This window comes from Homo sapiens, chromosome 11, assembly GCF_000001405.40.
Source record: "Homo sapiens chromosome 11, GRCh38.p14 Primary Assembly".
In the NCBI taxonomy this organism is placed as follows: Eukaryota; Metazoa; Chordata; class Mammalia; order Primates; family Hominidae; genus Homo; species Homo sapiens.
The window spans coordinates 120,433,751-120,454,719 of NC_000011.10; the positions used below are offsets into that span (position 1 = coordinate 120,433,751).

Consider the following 20,969-nt stretch of genomic DNA (forward strand, 5'->3'; position numbering starts at 1 on the left):
CAAAACCAGCCTGGCCAACATAGTGAAACCCCGTCTCTACTAAAAATACAAAAAAAAATTAACTGGGTGTGGTGGCACACGCCTGTAATCTCAGCTACTGCAGAGTCTGAGGCAGGAGAACTGCTTGAACCAGGGAGGCGGAGGTTGCAGTGAGCCAAGATCGCGCCATTGCACTCCAGCATGGGTGACAGAGCAAGACTCCATCTCAGGGGTGGGTAAAAAAAAAAGAGTGAATTGTTTAGTATAGAAATAGGCATTCCAATCAATTAAGACTGTTTGACATGTAATTGATACTTAGTATTTGAATACATGAAATCAATGAATAAAGTGGGCTTTATCTTGCATGCAGAAGAGAGACACCATCAGAAACATATCTGTGGAAAATGATTTGGTGTAAAGAGGGAGATCTGTAAGAAAAGAAGACTGCTTGGCTTAATAGGAACTTTAACAAATGTGTGCTGAATGGATAATAGTTAGCATTTATTCAGTACCTACTTTGTGCCAGAGGTTGTACCCAATGCTTTACAGATACTCTTTTTTAACACTCATAATAATCTTAAAAAAGCAGTATCACCATTTCATAGATGAGGAAACTGAGGCCAAATAAATAAATGAATATTGTGGAAATCCGAGTGAGAAATGATAAAGTCCAAGCTAGGCTATCTTCTGAACACAGAACACACAGGTTTAATTTCTACAAGTGTCTGAGGCTAAAGATGTGTTGCTTTTAGCTTATGGATTTCCATGTTTGTTTCAATTTTAAGTATGGAGGACCCGGTCTGCTTTTGTTGTTGTTTTAACAGTACTTTGAGTCGCGGTTTTACATTTTATCTTTTGAATCAGTGCTTTTAACTTTTTTCATTGTCTTCTCATTTTTATAAAATAATTTCCTGGTGGTGTTTGTGAAAGTTCCCTGCTTTTGCTTACCTTGGAGAAGGCTTTAAAGAATGCCCTGATACCCAGTTCTCACAAGAGAAGCAACTTGGTAACAAATCATCATCTGAAATTCAGAGCATCTATCATTTTGATTTTCAGTTTGTGAGTGATATTTTTGAAAAATTATTTATTTTGGAAAATTGTTAAACATATTCAAAAGTAAAGACTAACATAATCCTCCTCATGTCCCTGAGAACCTAGTCTCAGCAGTTTTGTTTGTACCCCCTATTCCTCACATCCTCCAAACACCAGATTAAAGTAAATCCAAGGCATTCGTTTATTAATATGTCTCTCTCTAAGAGATAAGAAGTTTTTAAAATATAGCTATAATATTCTTATTAAATCCTAAGAATTAATATTTTCTCAATACACAATTTTATTACCTTGTTTTATAATGATCTTTTTACAGTTTATTTGATTCAGGATCCAGTCAAGGCTTTCATATTGCCATTGGTTAATAAGTCATTTTAAGTCTTTATAATTTATAATAGTTTCCTTCTTTTTTTTCCTTGGCCATTTGTTGTTGTGGTTGTTGTTAAAGAAATTGAGTCAGATGTTCAGTAAAACAATCCATTTTCTAATTATATTTTCATGGTGTCGTATGACATGTTCCTTTATCTAAATTTTCTTAAAACTCCTAGTTAAATCTACAAGTCTTGATCACATTAGGTTTGATAGTTGTTATTTGGAATAATTCATAGATGATACTATGTACATCTCATTATATCACATGAGGATGTGAATGGCTGTCTTACTGTGGTTGTAAGCTTAAGGTGTTTAGGTGATATCAACATGATTTCCTTCATTATAACGTCCCCTGTCAAGCTTTTTTTTTTTTTTTTTTTTGAGATGGAGTCTCGCTCTGTTGCCCAGGCTGGAGTGCAGTGACGCAATCTCAGCTCACTGCAACCTCCGCCTCCCGGGTTCGTGCCATTCTCCTGCCTCAGCCTTCCGAGTAGCTGGGACTACAGGTGTCTGCTACCATGCCCGGCTAATTTTTTTTGTATTTTTAATAGAGACAGGGTTTCACCGTGTTAGCCAGGATGGTCTCGATCTCCTGACCTCGTGATCCACCCGCCTCAGCCTCCCAAAGTGCTGGGATTACAGGTGTGATCCACCACTCCCGGCCCCCAAGCTTTTGTGAAATGTTTTCACATGCCATTTATGATCAAAATGCCTAGATCCATTGTTTAATTCAGAGTTTCAAAAGGATATTATTATAATTTTGTCAGTATTTCTGTATTTATTACATGGAGTTATGTTACAAAAAATGATTTCCCTTACTAGCTAATAGGTTACCCTAAAATACAGCTTATACAGAAAATGTAGGGTAAATACTTCTCTTGATTCTTTTCAGAAGAGTTTTTTCAGGAGAGATGATACTCTTACAAACTCCAAAGGTGACAAGTGGGAAGGGTATATGTGTGTAATATTTTGAACTCATAGATTTCAGTATGAGTTACTCTTTTCTTTTGTTGGTGGGAGCCCCCTCAAATTTTCTCCTGTGTTCTTTTGACATGCCCCTCCAATATCTTTGATAGCTTTCTTGCTTTTTGTGACAGAATTATTCTAATCTTTTATATATCTTGTCCAAGACCTGAAAGTCATTCATTTCTCCAAGGTGGGGCATACATTTGAAAGTGCTGTTTTCTCTTGGTAACAGAAATATCTGTGATACCACCAAGATATCTTGCTATATGCATAGGTAAAATGTATCTTCCCTATTGGCACTCGTTAGGTCTCTGGTTCCTCATTTTCATTGCTCTAAAGAATGTCTCCCGTTGCTTTGGGGTGTTCCTCATCTCCACAAAGTGAGTTTCTGTGTCTCATATAGTTCATATTTTATACAGAAGTTCTCAGTATTTGTGGACAGCATCTGTGGATTCAGCCAACCATTTATCAAAATATTCAGGGATAGAAATGCATCTGTACTGAATATGCACAGACTTTTTTCCTAGTCATTATCCCCTAGACAATACAGTATAACAACTATTTATACAGCATTTATGCTGTATTAGGTATTATAAGTAATCTAGAGATGATTTAAAATATATAGAAGATTTGCGTATGCAAATACTATACCATTTTATATCAGGGACTTGAGCATCCATTCCCCCACAAACACTGAAGAACAACTGTATTAGGTATTATACAATACCATATAAATGTATTAAAATCCACCTTTCACATGAAGCGAGTAACAGAATAGTAGAAGCTTAATTGTACTCATAAGTAGGGCAAAATGCTTTTAGCTTGGATAGAAAGGATAGTTTGAGAAGGTAAGGATTAAGGAAGATAAGAGAGTTTGATTTTGACATAATGAGTTTGAGGTATGCAGTATATCTAATTATTTGGTAGAAAAGTAACCTCCAGGCCTGGAGATTAGGTAAAATTGTTTTGTTGATTCTGTATTGTTTATCAATATAAAATTGAAAAGGTGAGAGAATAAGTGACTTGCCAAAGTAAGGAAAAAGTAGCAGAACCAAGCATTTTACGAAAGATATTTAGTAGTTGTAAATACAAATATGAAATTCAGAACAATTTTTTTTTCACACTTTTTTCCCTCATCTCCTTTTGGTGTGCCTATTGAAATGAACTGAAGATCTTGTTTTTTTCATTAGAGTCCCAAGAGTGGCCCAAAAGAGAGAATTTATCTAGAGGAAAACCCAGAGAAAAGTGAAACAATTCAGGACACTGTGAGTATGAAATCCATGCAATGATAGTGCTGTCTTTGGCTTTCCTTATACTTAAAGTATGGTATAGACACATCTGATGTTTACATATTTTATTTTTTATTTTTTGGAAAAAAAATTAAAATTTATTAAAGAAACTTAATAAAGATTTGAATAAGTCAAGAGATATTCCATGGTTTGTAAGTATTCTTAGGTTCCTTCATATTTGTCGTGGTGGTAACATAAAATGTACTAGTTTAACCATTTTTAAGTGTATAGTGGCATTAAGTATATTCACATTGTTGTGCGACCATCACTGCCAACCATCTTCTCCAACTGCAATTTGGTACCCGGTAAACACTAAGTCTACATTTCCCCCTTCCCCCTAGCCCCTGGCAGCCACCATTCTACTTTCTGTCTCTATGAATTTGACTACTTTAGATACTCATGTAAAAAGAATGATACAATGTTTATCCGTTCATGACTGGCTTCTCTCACTTAGCATATGTCTTCAGCTTTCATCCGTGTTGTAGCATGTGTCAGAATTTCCGTCCTTTTTGAGACCAAATAATATTCCATGACATGTATATACACCACATTTTGTTTATCTGTCCGTTTGTCAGTGGGTACTTAGATTGCTTCCACTTTTTGCTATTGTGAATATGCTGCCTTGCCTTCAGTTTTTGTGGGTGTTCATCAAGAAGAAGAATTGTTTGATCTTACGTATTCTTAATTGCATGCTTTTAAGCACTCTGATTTTATCTTCTAATTACATTTATTTACAGTTTTGTAGTAAAAGATACAACAGCATTTTGTCATCTTTTTATTGTTAGCAACATAAGGACTATTGAAAAATCAGAGACATCAAATCAGTTATAAAATCAAAATTGTCTGACTACTGCTCGAAACTAATTTATGTTGTTTCACCTAATTTCTTTTTTTTAATTTTTTAATTTTTCCTTTTTTTAAAGAGGGAGTTTCGCCATGTTGGCCAGGCTGTTCTCAAACTCCTGACCTCAGGTGATCCACCCGCCTCAGCCTCCCAAAGTGCTGGGATTATAGGCATGAGCCACAGTGCCCGGCCAGTTTCACCTGATTTTTTTTTGGAATATTAAAGCCTTGAGGTTAAAGAAAATAATAAGAGTTGTTAAAAGGCAGAATTGTGTTTAGGAGACTCAATATGTAGTGTTGCAACACTAGGAGGAAAAACTACAGGTACATATTATTCACTCAGTTTAAAACTTGCGGATCTGTTTATACAACTTCAGCTATAGCCACTATAACTGCTGTGCAAATGACTCTCAAATCATAGGCCTACCCTTCTTTGCTGAACTCCATCCAGATCTTGCAATGTTAAACTGCTGTTAGATTTAAGCCAAACTCATTTTTTTCCTATTTCTTCCAAAATTTTTATTCCCCAATCCTATATGGTCTTTAATTTTAGTACTTATGGTCTTCAGACATCCTGTATGTATGTATGTATTTATGTATGCATGTATTTATGTATGTATATATGTATGAATGAGACAGAGTCTTACTCTGTTGCCCAAGCTGCAGTACAGAGGTTAACTGTAACCTCAAACTCCTGGGCTCAAACTGTGTACCCACTTTGGCCTCCCAAGTAGCTAAGACTATAGACACACGCCACCACGCCTGGCTAATTTATTTTGGTTTTTTTAGAGATGGGTCTTGTTGTTTTTCCCAGGCTGGTTTCAAACTCCTGGCCTCAAGTGATCCTCCCTCCTTGACCTCCCAAAGTGCTGCGATTACAGGCCTGAGCTACCGTGCCCAGCACCCATGTTTATTATTTTATATATTAATGCCTCTGTACTGCCGTTTTTGTGCTGAATCTAACTTTGTGAGTTGACAAATGGAGGAGCTATTGCATGGGAAACTATCTGACAATCTACAATTTATTCTTAGAATTTTGTTATCTTTGTTTCTATAGCAGTGTTTGTGAGATTACTTGATGATTTTAGAGCATTGTATCAGTGATTTTTCAATCAAGAGTGATTATGCCTCCGTGGACATTTGACAAATGTCTGGAAACGCTGCAGCTGGCATCTGGTGGGTGCATAGAGGTCAGGGGTGCTGCTAAGTGTCTTAGAATGCACGGGCTAGACCCTACAGCCAAGAACTCTCTGGCGCAAAATGTCAACAGTGCCGCAGTTGAGAAACCCTGCATTATACATTTATGAAAATTAATTAAAAATGAAAACATAGAGTTCGATGATAGCCTTCAATTATGTATCATTAATGGAAATCTTGGGTTAGTACTTCTCAGGTATATTAGCCTCTCTGCTAACTTTGTCTTACCATTTCTGCTCTTATTTTTCCTTTCTCCTATTGTCTTCATTCACTTTTTCTTTAATTTTTTAATTGTAACCATTTATGTAAGCCAACTTTATTTTTTTCTGTAAGAAGTTTTAAGTATGTATGAATTAATAAAAGAATGTACAGAAGTGTACAGAAAGTGTTAAAGTCAGATAACCAAGTGTATAGTGAGCAAAGGATATTTACTGTTTCCAAGGGGAGTGGTTTTTTCCCCCCAAAAAAAACTCGTTGTTGTGGTCTTTTTCTCTGCCAGAGTGGTACATGGCCTTGAAAATTTGTGAACCCCTACTTTGAAAATAAAGTACTTCAAAGGAAATAAACAAAAAGAAATCTCACCATTTAAGTGAACCATGTCTTTTTGATGGGTTGGCTTTATTCTTTTTCTAAATTTGACCACCAGGTAATTTTTCTGTTTCTTTTCCCTGAATGTTGCCAGGACACTCAATCACTTGTCGGAAGTCCCTCAACCCGTATAGCACCTCATATTATTGGAGCAGAAGATGATGATTTTGGTACTGAACATGAACAGGTGATGACTTTTTTCTTTCTAAAAAATAGATTGTTACTTTCTGCAATATCTGATTTGTTGCAAAAATGAGCACGTTCTGGAGATTAAGATAACATTTGTAAGGATTTGAAGCTAAATCTTAGAACCAATAGCTCCTTGGGTTAATTGCTTATTTTAGCTTTGACCAACAGAAATGACCTTGCTTTTAAAGCCAGTGAGAGATCATTAATATATGTTTAAGTACTTCATTTTATTGGGGTTGAGTGTGTTTCTTAAAATAGTATTTTTAAAAAAAATTTCAAATCCCAGTTCATTGGTGCTATAAAGGAATATGATTAGCTAGATTCTTGTCCTTGTATCCTGTGATCTTGCTAAATTCACTTATTATTTCTTGGTGCTTTTAAAAATAAGTCTTTTGGAGTTTTCTACATAGATAAATATGTTGTCTATAGTTTTTATTTCCTTATTTTCAAGCTGTTTATCTTTTATTTCTTGTTCTTGCCTTTATTGCACTGGCTAGGACTTCCACTATGAGGTTGAATCAGAGTGACAAGACATGCTTGCCTTATTCCTGCTATTAGGGAGAAAACACTCAGTCTTTCATCATTAAGTATGATGTTAGCTATAAGTATTTTTTAGAGGCTCTTTATAAGGTTAAGGGTTATTAGGTTAAGGAATACTCCTGGTTTGCTGAGAGTTTTTATCATCACTGGATGTTGAATTTTGTGGAATGAGATTATTATGTGGTTTTTCTGATTGTCTATTAATATGGTAAGTTATGTTGATTGATATTAGAATATTAAACTAGTCTCGCATTCCTGGAATGAACCTCAGTTGGTCATGATATGTTATCCCTTTTATATATTGTCGGTTTCAATTTGCCATATTTTACTGAGGATTTTTTACATCTTTGTTGATGAAGGATATTGGTGTGTTGTTTTTCTTTTTGTAATACCTTTGTCTGGTTTGATAGTTGGGGGTAATGCTGGTCTTTAGAATGATTTGGGAATATGAAAATTGTGATGCTAGTTTACATTATTATTGTTTTCTGTGTTCAGTATATTTAGGGATTATACAAATATTCTAGGATTTGTCTTACTTAAAATCATACAACTTCATTTCCCACCATTTCTGCAATTAGCCCAGAAGAAAAGGATAAACAGCTATTTTATGATTGGGCAAAAAGCCTTCCACTGCATTTCTAGAAATGTTAGACTGTTTTTTACATACTGATTTGTATACATCCGAGCTACTTGATAATCGTCTCCTAAATTTCCGTTCTCCCACAGTGGTCTTTCTTCTAACCTATCCCCAAGAGGTGGTTAATGTTCACAGAAAGAGATTCCATAGCTTCTGTTGCTAATAAATTTTAGTGAAGTTTTTTAAATCTTGAATTTTTTATAGGGAGATCAAAGTGAAATTTGGATAGCTATGTTCAATTGAGCCTACTTTGCATTTAGTATTTGTATGTTGGAGTTACTGATGCATAATCATTTCTTCCTCTAGATCAATGGACAGTGCAGCTGTTTCCAGAGCATTGAATTACTAAAATCTCGCCCGGCTCATTTGGCTGTTTTCTTACACCATGTAGTTTCACAATTTGACCCTGCGACTTTGGTAATATATTTTACAATCTAGCAGATTCAGAGTTCTTCTGTTGATTCATGTGCCATAGAACTTTTCCTAGCTATACAACGAGTGGGCAGACTTCTTTCAGTTTTCCGTATAAAGACAGATACAAAAGATAATTAAAACATTATTTTTAAAGACTTGGTTATATAGTAATAACTACATTGTTTATGGTGACCTACCTGTTCCAGACATTCCTACTCAATGGTGACCTAGCAAATTACATTTTTCATGGTTCCTCATTTTGTCTTTTTCATTCCTTTCTCCACTACAGCTCTGTTATCTCTATTCAGACCTGTATAAACATACCAATTCCAAAGAAACTCGTCGCATCTTCCTTGAGTTTCATCAGTTCTTTCTAGATCGATCAGCAGTAAGTTGCCAAGTTAATGTTGTAATCTTTGCCTTAGTACATGGAATTATTGTCCTCCTGCTTCCTATCTTCCCTCCCATGTTTTTGGATTTTACTGTGCTTTCTCACACCTGTATTATATTTCAATTATTGATTACTCTAGACTTTTTTTTTTTTATCATTTCTAAAGTAGTTTAGGCATATGAATTCTCACAGTAGGTTTTAGGGGATTATATATATATATATACACACACACACACACACACACACACACATATATATACACACACACACACACACATATTTGTGTTTTTTGCATGTGCATAATTAGAGTGAGGAAATGAAAAAGGGAATACATATATATTAAGACCCAAGGAATAATACTTGAATAACTGAACTCTGGGTGGCCTCTTTGAAGTTTGGAGGCATAATTTTAACTAAAAAGTGGCAGAAAAGATTTCACTTACACTGAAATAAATGATGATAACGTTATATTTTGTCATTAAAAGTGTTAATAAGGTTTTTAAAGTAGTAAGTTTTATTATTAGTCTTGTTATGGGTAAATAGCACCTAGCCCTTAATGCATACTGGATAATCATGCCGCAGGTCCCTAGTCCTTTCACATTTGCAGTTCCCTTAGACGACTGCCTCATGCTTTTTCCCTCCTAAAACCTCCATCACTTCCTTTCCTAGTCCTTTCTCAGCTGATAACCTTGACCTTATTGTTTCTCTGAGAAATTTAAAGTATATAGAAGAGAACTTCTACCAGATGTATCATCTGCCCTCATTATACCATACCATGTACTCTACTCTTTCTCCTGATGCTATGGAGTGACTGTCTTTTTTTTTTTTTTTTTTGAGACAGAGTCTTGCTCTGTTGCCCAGGCTGGAGCACAGTGGCACGATTGCACCTCACTGGAAGCTCTGCCTCCTGGGCTCAAGTGATCCTCCTGCCTCAGCCTCCCAAGTAGCTGGGACTACAGGTGTACACCATCATGCCTGGCTAATTTTTGTATTTTGTAGAGCCGGGGTTTCGCCATGTTGCCCAGGCTGGTCTTGAACTCCTAGGCTCAAGCAATCTGCCTGCTTCATCCTCTCAAAGTGCTGCGATTACAGGCATGAGCCACCGCACCTGGCCTTGATTGTCCATCTTTTATCCAAGGCCAGCTCTGCTCCAGTTTACAGTGTATTTCCTTATACCTACTCAAAGATCTTACTCTAACAATTATCCTCCCTTCTCCTGCATCATCGGTTTTATATTTTCTACAGATAATCATTCACATTAGTCTGCAAATGTTGTTATTTTCCCTTTCTAAAAACAAACACACATTTTGGCTCTACTTCTCCCTCCAACTCCTGCCCCGTTTTCTTTGTATGCCTTTACAAAATTGTCTGTACACTTTCACATTCAATTACCTACTCAGTGACTTTCCTAACCAACCTACTTAAAATCTCAACCCTTTCACTTTGTCACTTTTTCTATTATTTTTGTCCATAGAACTTTTATTTAGTTAGTTAGTTTGTTTACACAGTCAGTCTTCTGTGCCTGCAGCTTCCACGAATTCAACTAACCATGGTTGAAAATATTCAAGGAAAAAAACAAAAGCCAATACCACAATAAAAAATGAAACAATTTTTTAAAAATATAGTATAACAACTATTTGCATAGCGTTTACATTGTATTAGGTATTATAATTAATCTAGAGATTTAAAGTATACAGCAAGATGTGCATAGGTTATATGCAAATACAGTGCCATTTTGTACAACGGACTTGAGAGTTCGCTGATTTTAGTATCCATGGGGGTTCCTAGAACCGGTACCCCATGTGGATATCAAGGGATGACTATATTCCTACTCTCCTACCCTGAATATAAGTTTTATTAGGCCAGATATTTTTATTCTGTTTGTTCACTGCTGTGTCCCTAACACTGAACAGTTCCTGGGACATAGCGGGGTCACTTAAGTATGTGTTAAGTGAATTAGTGTTCTGATCCTACTCCCATTGTTTAAAATATTGTGTTATTTTTATTAAAATAATTTACTTTCCTAAAAAAATGACAATATATTGAAGCATGTTTGAATTTTGCATTTCTTAAGAGGGCACCAAGCTAAGTCAAAACTTTACATTTTGCTACACATGATCTATATATCAATATTAAAGTATAAGAAGAATCCTTACACTTTGATTAATTTGCTAATTATACTTTTATGCTACAGCTCACATTTATTTCATATATACACCATCATACAGAAATGAGCTTTTATTACTTTTTTGCACTTGAGCTAGAAATGCTTTTAAGAAAGTTGATTTGAGCTACTGCCTGTCAAAGAGAAAGTTTTAAAATCCATTTTACTTTTCTTCAAATGAATATAAAGAGATCTTACAATTTTTAGCGGTGACTTATTTTCAAATTTAAAACTTCAGATCTTATAGGATGTGTTTAAATTCTGAAATTGTATGACTTAAATAGGTATACAATACAAAATAAGCAGGAAGAGGTTAAGATATTTTCTCTTAATGCAAAATAATAAAGTATTCCCCTCCATTAGTTTGGGGGTGGGGGAAAACAACAGACTGGTAATTATTATGCAAATATTATGGGGAAAATCCTAGCTAGGAATAAGTAAATTCTAAGATAGTCACCTTATTTGGTTCAGTAGCAAGAACTGTAGATGGTTGCTGGAGATTTAAAACTCCAAAAACTCAACATTGACATTCAATATTTTCTCACTGGGAGTGTGACATTGTGAGGGCTCTTAAACTTTACATAGGAAAACGATTAGGAATATTATTGGTCTTCAGAATGAGCATCTCAAATATAGGAAAGAAAAATCATGGCTATATGTGAGTACATTTTTCATATGATAATATACACATAATTTAGGTTTTACCTATATTGATCTAAATGACATATAACTGATTATATTGACCAATGATTCTAGGAAGCCAAAGCCAAAGCCAGTATATTCATTAAGTGTGTCACAGAAGCATTCAGTCATCTAGCTAAACGACTGTAGACTTTTCCTTTATAGCATGATCCTCGGGAAAAGGGCTCATTTTCAAGTTTAAACGATAGAATGTTCTGGAGTTGTGAAATGTGAATGAATAAATGAGCTTGTACTTGATTGTGCTTGTAGAGTGGGTATCCAAGTTGTATCCCCTTACTTTACAGAAGTACTTATGTACATCTTCAAATATCTTTAGCGTTGTTACACCTTTTGTTTGCATTTCATTTTAGCACCTGAAAGTTTCTGTTCCTGATGAAATGTCTGCAGATCTAGGTAAGCTTGGAGCACTAACATCCTGGAGAATTACATCTTAATAGATATGTAGCTCAGCTCATCTGTTCAGGTTTTATCTGTCACATGGTGACTAGTCGATCACCTGAATCACAACAGAAAGACAGTCTATAATACATTTAAAGAGTAAATGAGGCCGGGCGTAGTGGCTCACGCCTGTAATCCCAGCACTTTGGAAGGCCAAGGTGGGTGGATTACCTGAGGTCAAGAGTTCGAGACCAGCCTTGCCAACATGGTGGAACCCTGTTTCTACTGAAAATACAAAAATGAGCTGGCATGATGGTGCATGCCTGTAATCCCAGCTACTTAGGAGGCTGAGGCAGGAGAATTGCTTGAACACAGGAGGCGGAGGTTGCAGTGAGCTGAGATTATGCCATTAACACTCCAGCCTGGGTGATAAGAGCAAAACTCTGTCTCAAAAAAAATAATAATATGGCTGGGCGCAGTGGCTCACGCCTGTAGTACTCCCAGCACTTTGGGAGGCCGAGGCGGGTGGATCACGAGGTCAGGAGATCGACCATCCTGGCTAACACAGTGAAACCTTGTCTCTACTAAAAAACAAAAAAGTAGCTGGGCGTGGTGGCGGGCGCCTGTTGTCTCAGCTACTCAGGAGGCTGAGGCAGGAGAATGGCATGAACCCCGGAGGTGGAGCTTGCAGTGAGCTGAGATCGCGCCACTGCACTCCAGCCTGGGCAACAGAGCAAGACTCCATCTCAAATAATAATAATAATAATAATAATAATAATAATAATAATAGAGTAAATGAAATCAGAATTCTGGGATGAAATATACGAACTGCCCTGAAGAACTTCCCTCTGGCATATTCTAAGTTAATTTGTACGAAGTAGCATTGCTATGTTGCCAATTGTATGTTGCCCAGAACATACCTTTAGATAACATAATTCCTTTCATTTATGAAGAAAAGAGAAGACCTGAGCTCATTCCTGAGGATCTGCATCGCCACTATATCCAAACTATGCAAGAAAGAGTCCATCCAGAAGTTCAAAGGCACTTAGAAGATTTTCGGTAAGCTTAGTGGTAGATAGAATTTCATATGATTATTCTAAATTAATTTTTTTAGTTAAGAAAAAGTTGCTCATTAAATACTTAGCTTAGCACTAGATAAACCATATGGTCTTATTGTTATTAAAACATAATGAACATCTGGAGCCAAAGGGTTAGAGTGGAACTGAGAGTCCAGACTCTCCATTCCAGGCACTTGCAGGATCTGAGCTCAGTGCTGTGTCTATGCTAAGTGTGTTCCTTTAAGATATTGTATGTGTTCTTGGAGTCATTGCTTCTAGAATTTTTTCCTCTGGTATCCTAGATGACATGGACCCATAAGTGGAAAAGTGACATTTTTCCTGTTCCTAGAAACCATAGCTGTGAAGACTGTGATGAAGCGTCCCCAGAATGAGGTAGTTTTTCTTTAGGCTACCTCAGGAAACTTCTCTATTCCCTTCAGGCAGAAACGTAGTATGGGACTGACCTTGGCTGAAAGCGAGCTGACTAAACTTGATGCAGAGCGAGACAAGGACCGATTGACTTTGGAGAAGGAGCGGACATGTGCAGAACAGATTGTTGCCAAAATTGAAGAAGTATTGTAAGTAATAGAAGTATATGTGGAAATGCCCTCTCTGCTGAGATACTAGTTATGCTTGAAGTGTCCTTTGGGTAGGTTTAGAAAAACTGTCAGATTGTGTATGTGGAGCCGTTTATTTTGTCATAGTACTTGAGAAACTGGATTTTTTTTTTCTTTTTTCTGATACTTTTAGATAAATTTCTTGTGTTCCTTTTTCTGGGTGGTGGTAAATGGGTAACTCTAAAACTTCTAATCAGTGATCAAAAACAGGTTGATTACTTTCATTATTTTCAATTTATAGGCCTTGGAAATATTTCTTGCCATGAAGCATATACAGTTGGTGACATGAGGGTGAAACAGATAAGGTTCTTTAGGGGATCAGGGTTCTTTTGGTATTTTATTCTAGGGTGTGGCCCAAAGCATTTGGCTCTGTTCTGTTATTTCAGGTATCTGAGTTAATAACAATTTTTAAGGCCAGGCATGGTGGCGCACTCCTGTAATCCCAGCACTTTGGGAGGCCGAGCGGGCGGATTACGTAAGGCCAAGAGTTCGAGACCAAGCTGGCCAACATGGTGAAACCCCATCTCTACTAAAAACCCCAAAATTAGCCAGGCATGGTGGCACTCCTGTAATCCCAGCTACTCAGAAGGCTGAGGCACGAGAATCACTTGCGCCCAGGAGGCGGAGGTTGCAGTGAGCCAGGATCATGCCATTGCACTCCAGCCTGGGTGGCAGAGTGAGACTCTGTCTCAAAAAAATTAATTAAACTTCCATATTTCATTTTTAAATTTTTTTTTCTTTTTTTTAAGGATGACTGCTCAGGCTGTAGAGGAAGATAAGAGGTAACATAACTGTTTTTTTTCCCCTAGAATTTTAAGAAAAAAAGAACTATGTTTTTTTCCTTTCAGTCCTAAATTACAATTTATTTCTTTTAACTTACAAATACAGTTTGTGGTCTCTCTCTGGTGGCTTGTATGTTATTTGACTAATATTCTACTGTTGTCCTGAGTAGAATTCTCTTCTCTGTGCAATGACTAGTTAGTTCTTTAGTGTTTGTTTGATTTATTTCAATAATTCCAACCTTGGGGTTTTGGAAATCATTTGATGTCTTTATTCTACCAACCCTCCCTTCTCAGAAGTCTTAATTTACTTCGTCCTTTCTCCTCCAGCTCCACCATGCAGTATGTTATTCTCATGTATATGAAGCATTTGGGAGTAAAAGTGAAAGAGCCTCGAAATTTGGAGCACAAACGGGGTCGGATTGGATTTCTTCCCAAAATCAAGGTAAGAATGAAATAATGTAATAGCATGTTCAGGCCTTAGGGCTTCTTTACATTTGGTTGCAGTGTCTTCCATCATCTTAGTATTTACTTAATCAGCAAATTAATGCTAGTCATACAAACATTTATAAGATACTGTCTCTGTTCTCAAGAAACTCAAAATACAGTGAGAAATCCAGACATATAAACTATTATTAGACAATGTGAAAAGTGAAATTAGCAGTTTACAAAGAGTGCTATTTCTGATTCTGTTCATGCCTTATACTTTCCTTTTACTTTGCCTAAACTAAATACCCCCTGTGTTGCTACATAATCGTCATGAACATCTTTAGTGGCAGTAGAGTATTCTGTCAGTTTGTAATTATTTGTGTTTTTGTTTAGTGTTTACTAGATTGTAAAGCTGTATGAGTACAAGGACCTTCTTTATTATTGTATTTTCAACTGTTAGCAAAATGCTTAGTAAATATTTGTTGAATGGATGAATGAATTGTTTAGAATAAGTTCCTGGTAAATGTGCTATAAAACTACCCTTTGATTTTCCAAAGCTGTCAGTGATAAAGAGTTTGAAGAAAACATCTTGAGTTTGAGGTGTACACGGTACTGTGTGCGAACTTTTAATTAGTGCTCTGTGTGCATACACACGTGTACGGGTTTTCATTTACACTTAACAATTTCTTTGAACTAACCATTAGCATTACACTATGAAAATCGCAAAAGAAATTTACTCTGTTACGTATCTCTTATTTTTTGTACTTCAACTCTAGCAAAGTATGAAGAAAGATAAAGAAGGGGAAGAAAAAGGGAAGCGAAGAGGATTCCCCAGCATCCTGGGACCCCCACGGAGACCAAGCCGTCATGACAACAGTGCAAGTATGTTGAAGTTTGAAGTGCTGCATTTTCAGTACTCCAGGCCCTCTTCACATCAGAGGCTTCTTCAGCTAGAATGAATTTCTGGAGAAAGGAGTTGTTAGGATGATTTTACTGAATTCCCAATATGCCTTGTTTCCATTCAGCGTTATTTCTGAACTAAGTACCCCCTATGTTGCTACATAATTGTCATAAACATCTTTCGTGGGCTGGGCGTGGTGATTCACGCCTGTAATCCCAGCAGTTTGGGAGGCTGAGGCAGGCGGATCACAAGTTCAGGAGATCGAGACCATCCTGGCTAACACAATGAAGCCTGTCTCTACTAAAAATACCAACAATTAGCCAGGCGTGGTGGCATGCGCCTGTAGTCCCAGCTACTCGGGAGGCTGAGGTAGGAGAATTGCTTGAACCTGGGAGGCAGAGGTTGTAGTGAGCCGAGATTGCACCACTGCACTCAAGCCTGGGTGACACTGGAGCGAGACTCTGCCTCAATAAAACAAAAAGAAAAGAAAAAAAAAAAACGAAAACACACATCTTTAGTGGCAGTATTCTGTCAAATGTCCGTAACATAGTTTACTTACCTCTTCTGATTCTGTTTCCATTCAACTTGTGTTTGTTAAATTAAAAAAAAAAAGTGTGTATAGATCTCTCCACCACACTGAACGTCTCTTTATACATATTTACTTAGTCTCCATATTTCTAAAATTTCTCCACCTCTCCATTGTACTTTATTTTCTGATTTCCCTTTCACCCCAGGCCCAATAAAGAGAGATAAGCTCACTTGAGATGGCTGCAGGAGAAATAGGGATGGTGGTACCATGGGGAGGGGTCATGTGATGGTTCTTATCTCAGGCAGTAGCACATTTGAAAATACTGAAGCCAGGTGCGGTGACTCTTGATTGTAATTCCAGCACTTTGCAAGGCCAAGGCGGGAGGATCACTTGAGCCTGGGAGTTCGAGACCAGCCTGAGCTACATAGTGAGACCCTGCCTCTACAACAAGAACAGCCAAAATAAGCTGTGTATCATGGTGCATGTGTGTAGTCTGAGCTACCTGGGAGGCTGAGGTAGTATTGCTTTAGTCTGGGGAGTCCAGGCTGCTGTGAGCCATCATCTCGCCACTAAACTCCAGCCTGGGTGACAGAGTGAAACACTGTCTCAAAAAAAAAAAAAAAAAAAAAAAGATATTGGCATGGTAGAGTGGTGGGAGTAGGATTGTGATAGTGAGTGTCCCCCACAATGACGAGTTCTCCCTCAAATGCCATGAGTGCCTCTTGTTGAGAAACATTGAGAAGGTGTGAAATTTTTAGAGGAAGTTAAAGAGATGGAGGATTTCACAGATGCTAACCGTGAGTTCCAAGGTATACAAAAGAAGAATTTGAGGAATTAAGAGATTAGGGTATAAAAAGTTGTGTGAGGGTGTAGGATGCTTTGGATATTGAACACCTGAGTGGGAGTCTTTGGCTTCTTGTGGTGACTTTGTGAACAAGGATAATTAGCAGGATGGGGATTGGTCTGGATGGTCTTTGAGGTACATTATGATGATGAAGGTGTGAGTGTTGGGGGAGAACTGGGGTGGGAGCTTACTAAGAACTCACAAAAATAAAGACTTCATCTTCATTCTTACAAATGAACACAGCTCCATGTCTCTCAGCATTCCTCCTCCCTCTGTCCACCATTCCTCTCCTTCTTTTCTCATGACCCTTCTTCTTTCCCTACATCCTCCTCTTCCTCGCTTTCGTCGTCCTGCCTCACCCCTCCTCCATCTCCTCATCTTTCTGCTCTACCTTCCTCTCCCTTTCTCTCTTTTCTTCTTCCTTCCTTCATCTGTCTGTCTGTATGTTTCTCTGCATAACAATCCACTATATATATTTTTTAGGGTCTACCATGTTTCACACATTTTACCAGATTCTTTTACATTGTCCTTTTTTGCTTTTAGCTAATTTGCAATGCAGATTATTTTATTTATTTTATTTATTTATTTTTGAGACGGAGTCTTGCTCTGTCACCCAGGCTGGAGTGCAGTGGCGCAATTTCGGCTCACTGCAACCTCCGCCTCCCGGGTTGGAGCGATTCTCCTGCCTCAGCCTTCCGAGTAGCTGGGATTACAGGCATGTGCCACCACGCCCAGCTAATTTTTGTATTTTTAATAGAGACGGGGTTTCACCATATTAGCCAGGATGGTCTCGATCTCCTGACCTCATGATTCGCCCACCTTGGCCTCCCAAAGTGTTGGGATTATAGGCTTGAGCCACCGCACCCAGCCGCAATACAGATTATTAACCATCATTTTCTGATCAGTTGGCAGAGCCATGGAACTACAGAAGGCGCGCCACCCTAAGCACTTATCCACACCCTCATCTGTGAGTCCTGAACCTCAGGACTCTGCCAAGTTGCGCCAGAGTGGGTTAGCAAATGAAGGAACAGACGCTGGATACCTGCCTGCCAATTCCATGTCTTCTGTAGCTTCAGGGGCCTCTTTTTCCCAGGAAGGAGGGAAAGAGAATGATACAGGTGAGCTATTACTGTAGTTCAGCTTAACTAAGCATCAAGATTTTAAAACAAACACACTAACTGAAAAATAGAGTGGCAAGTTAATCAAGACTAAATCCCAGTTTAATTTAATTTTGACATTTTAATATGCTACAACCAATAAGAAATCTATGCCGAATGATAACTTAAGTTCTCATTTGTCCAAAAAAATATTTATTAAGCTCTCTGTCAGGCATTAGCTTTGTCCCGGATGTTAACATGCAATAATTATACACAGATGCTTGCCTCATGCAGCTTTCTCTCTTGAGAGCGATAGTCACAAATGTAAAAAATGCAAATTGTGCCAAGTCCAATCAAGGGAAGGTAAAGGGAGTATTGAGGGAACTGGTCAGTAGTTAGAGGCAGATGTGGGTATCTAAAGAAGACTTTTTAAAAATCTGAGATTAACTAGAGGTTTTATTTTTCAATGTTAATAGGAAGCCAGCTGAAAGAAAGGGTAGAATATGTGGGAGACAGTATATAAGTAGTAGAACAGAGTTGTGAGGAGAGAGGAGATGAGATGTAGAGTGTATGTAAAGGGTAAGACTATTTACTGAGAGTGAGAGTTCAGTGAGAAGAGCAAGGGAATTTGAAGAGTAAAGAAAGATATGAAGCAATCGTAGGTAATTGGGCAAGGAGCTTATTACCATGTCTTCATCCTTGTTTGGGAGGCGGTTCAATTTCTGGTGGTGACATGATCAAGAATGAGGCTCTGGGAGTGGTCCCTGAGGTGCCATAGAGGAGGCTACTAGGGATGAAGACGGCAAGGAACCAAGAAGCCAGGAGTTTGAATAGCTTAATATTCATGGCTAGTGACGTCACCAAGTGTGATTTTTATCATGGAGAGGAAAACTGTGAGCCACCAGCCAAAGGTTTAGCATTGCTAGATGATTGATATGAGGAGGAAGAGAATGTGATAATATCCAGAGCATGAGAGCCTCAGTGGAGCAAGAGATTATACAGGAAGACAAGGTCGGGTGCAGTGGCTCATGCCTGTAATCCCAGCACTTTGGGAGGCTGAGGCGGGTGGATCACCTGAGATCAGGAGTTGGAGAGCAGCCTGGCCAACATGGTGAAACCCGGTCTCTACTAAAAATACAAAAATTGGCCAGGCATGGTGACATGCACCCGTAATCCCAGGTCCTCGGGAGGCTGAGGCAGGAGAATTGCTTGAATCCAGGAGGTGGGTGGAGGTTGCAGTGAGCCAAGATCGTGCCAATGCACTCCAGCCTGGGCAACAGAGTGAGACTCCATCTCAAAAAACAAAAACAAAAACAAAAAAAAACGACAAGATAATGGTCCAAAAATCATATTGAGGAACAAGAAGGCCATTCATCTCATCTCCACCCTGACATACACCATATAAGACAGAAATATTAGTTTCTGTCTCAGAGGGCTGTAGCAGAAGAGGTAAGCTGCTGGGAATAGGCAGGTTTCTACATAAGGCCAAGAAGTACAAGTGACATTTGGAGAAAATTCTGGGGATTTTGTCAAATATGGAACTCTGAAGATGTTAGATTGGGTATATGCACTGATATTTCATGGCTCCTGTGACTTATTAAAATAAAAACATGGTAGGTGGCGGATGAACAGAAACCATAAAGAGAAAGAAAGTAGAGGAAGGGAATGTGTTATCAGGAAATAAGAGATTTTAACAAATACTTGGGAGATTGAAAGCAGACAAGAGTGTAAAGAAGCCAGGCATGGTGGCTTACTCCTGTAATCCCAGAACTTTGGGAGGCTGAGGCAGGAGGATTGCTTGAGCCTAGAAATTCAGGACCAGCCAGGGCAACATGAAAAGACTGTCTCTACAAAAAATGAAGAAGTCAGCCAGTCATATGGCATGTGCCTGTAGTCCTAGCTAATCAAGAGGCTGAGGTGGGATGATCACTTGATCCTAGGAAGACAAGGCTGCAGTGAGCCATGTTCTTGCCACCGTTAATGCAGCCTGGATGACAGAATGAGACCCTATCTCAAGAAAAACAACAACAGAGAACCACAAGATAAAACCATAAAGGAAGCCAGAGCCCACAATTTGTTTAAACAGTCCAAGATAGAACCCAGTCTGCTCATTGGAACCCTGGAGAGACTTTGGGCTCAGAGTTAGCATATGTTATGCAGTGCAGGAATAAGAAAAAGAGCAAAAATGATGAACTAATTGCAGGTCTATAATCAAAATAGTTATATCAGCAGCTTCTAATCCCTGAATTACAGAGTATGAGCAGTCTCTGTCACTTGTAGACTAGAAGAAAAAAACAGTGCTCTTTTTTAAAATAATTCAGTGAATTGTGTAGGGAGAGTTAAGTCCCTCCGCAGTATTGATCGCTTGGAGTTCTGACATTTGGGAGTCCAAAGCCTGACACTAGGCATGCCGGCAACCCACTGTGCTCAGAGAGCTCTCAACTGAAACAGACCTATTACTATATAGCAGCAAAAGAAAGCCAAGTCAGCTACTCACTTTCATCATTAAACACGAACATCATTACTCACCCTTGTCAGAGTCAAGACGTAAGATAATATATAATGCCAAACATATCAGACAATGACATAAAGAGAGAATACAGTTAAACAGAAGAATTTTCCCTACAAGAGAAAGATAATCTGATAATAGACAAGAACTTAAGAAAATACTTCTAAATTAGGTAGTATACTTGGGGACATTAAAGAAGTTATTATCTCTATAAAGCAAGAATAGGGAGCATTCAGAGACAAAATATTTTTAATACAACTATTAAACACAGTGACATCTGTTGTATTATCAATTTCTGTGTGATAAATTACCCCAAAACATAATGGCTTAACACAAAAAAAATTTATCTCGACTTTTTGGTGGATGAAGGACTCCAGAGCAGCTTAGCTGCGTGGGTCTCGGTTGGAGTCTGTCATAAAGTTGCAGTCAAGATATTAGCCAGTCATCAGAAAGCTTAACTGGGGCTGGGGAACCCATTTCTGTGCCCACTCAGGTGGCTGTTGGCAG

General features: G+C 38.1%; 1 protein-coding gene across 19 annotated transcripts in view, besides 6 other annotated features; it reads left to right on the forward strand.

Moving 5' to 3' along the window:
* ARHGEF12 (Rho guanine nucleotide exchange factor 12) overlaps positions 1-20,969 on the forward strand; it is a 153,525-nt gene that overhangs the window by 97,338 nt on the left and 35,218 nt on the right. For 13 of the 19 annotated variants that reach the window (NM_015313.3, XM_047426659.1, NM_001198665.2 and 10 more), the window contains 11 exons: positions 3,558-3,632; positions 6,379-6,471; positions 7,957-8,067; positions 8,354-8,452; positions 11,672-11,714; positions 12,653-12,758; positions 13,198-13,335; positions 14,124-14,156; positions 14,484-14,598; positions 15,359-15,464; positions 17,762-17,974. In NM_015313.3, the coding sequence (NP_056128.1) occupies positions 3,558-3,632; positions 6,379-6,471; positions 7,957-8,067; positions 8,354-8,452; positions 11,672-11,714; positions 12,653-12,758; positions 13,198-13,335; positions 14,124-14,156; positions 14,484-14,598; positions 15,359-15,464; positions 17,762-17,974 (1,132 nt within the window). The remainder of the gene's footprint in view (positions 1-3,557; positions 3,633-6,378; positions 6,472-7,956; positions 8,068-8,353; positions 8,453-11,671; positions 11,715-12,652; positions 12,759-13,197; positions 13,336-14,123; positions 14,157-14,483; positions 14,599-15,358; positions 15,465-17,761; positions 17,975-20,969) is intronic. The other 6 variants (XM_006718805.4, XM_047426661.1, XM_047426660.1 and 3 more) reach the window with 1 other exon arrangement.
* Positions 1,256-1,400: an enhancer, noted in NCBI's record as "145 bp 11:120305787 sequence used in MPRA reporter constructs". NCBI's record gives its function as "activates a minimal TATA-containing promoter with rs11217868 allelic activity by MPRAs in C283T melanocytes {active_cell/tissue: C283T}" and the evidence as "EXISTENCE:reporter gene assay evidence [ECO:0000049][PMID:36423637]".
* Position 1,328: a transcriptional cis regulatory region, noted in NCBI's record as "rs11217868 or 11:120305787 MPRA-significant variant associated with a GWAS melanoma risk locus at 11q23.3". NCBI's record gives its function as "allelic transcriptional activity by MPRAs in C283T melanocytes {active_cell/tissue: C283T}" and the evidence as "EXISTENCE:reporter gene assay evidence [ECO:0000049][PMID:36423637]".
* Positions 2,228-2,372: an enhancer, noted in NCBI's record as "145 bp 11:120306759 sequence used in MPRA reporter constructs". NCBI's record gives its function as "activates a minimal TATA-containing promoter with rs57912596 allelic activity by MPRAs in C283T melanocytes and UACC903 melanoma cells {active_cell/tissue: C283T | UACC903}" and the evidence as "EXISTENCE:reporter gene assay evidence [ECO:0000049][PMID:36423637]".
* Position 2,300: a transcriptional cis regulatory region, noted in NCBI's record as "rs57912596 or 11:120306759 MPRA-significant variant associated with a GWAS melanoma risk locus at 11q23.3". NCBI's record gives its function as "allelic transcriptional activity by MPRAs in C283T melanocytes and UACC903 melanoma cells {active_cell/tissue: C283T | UACC903}" and the evidence as "EXISTENCE:reporter gene assay evidence [ECO:0000049][PMID:36423637]".
* Positions 9,368-9,512: an enhancer, noted in NCBI's record as "145 bp 11:120313899 sequence used in MPRA reporter constructs". NCBI's record gives its function as "activates a minimal TATA-containing promoter with rs11217869 allelic activity by MPRAs in C283T melanocytes {active_cell/tissue: C283T}" and the evidence as "EXISTENCE:reporter gene assay evidence [ECO:0000049][PMID:36423637]".
* Position 9,440: a transcriptional cis regulatory region, noted in NCBI's record as "rs11217869 or 11:120313899 MPRA-significant variant associated with a GWAS melanoma risk locus at 11q23.3". NCBI's record gives its function as "allelic transcriptional activity by MPRAs in C283T melanocytes {active_cell/tissue: C283T}" and the evidence as "EXISTENCE:reporter gene assay evidence [ECO:0000049][PMID:36423637]".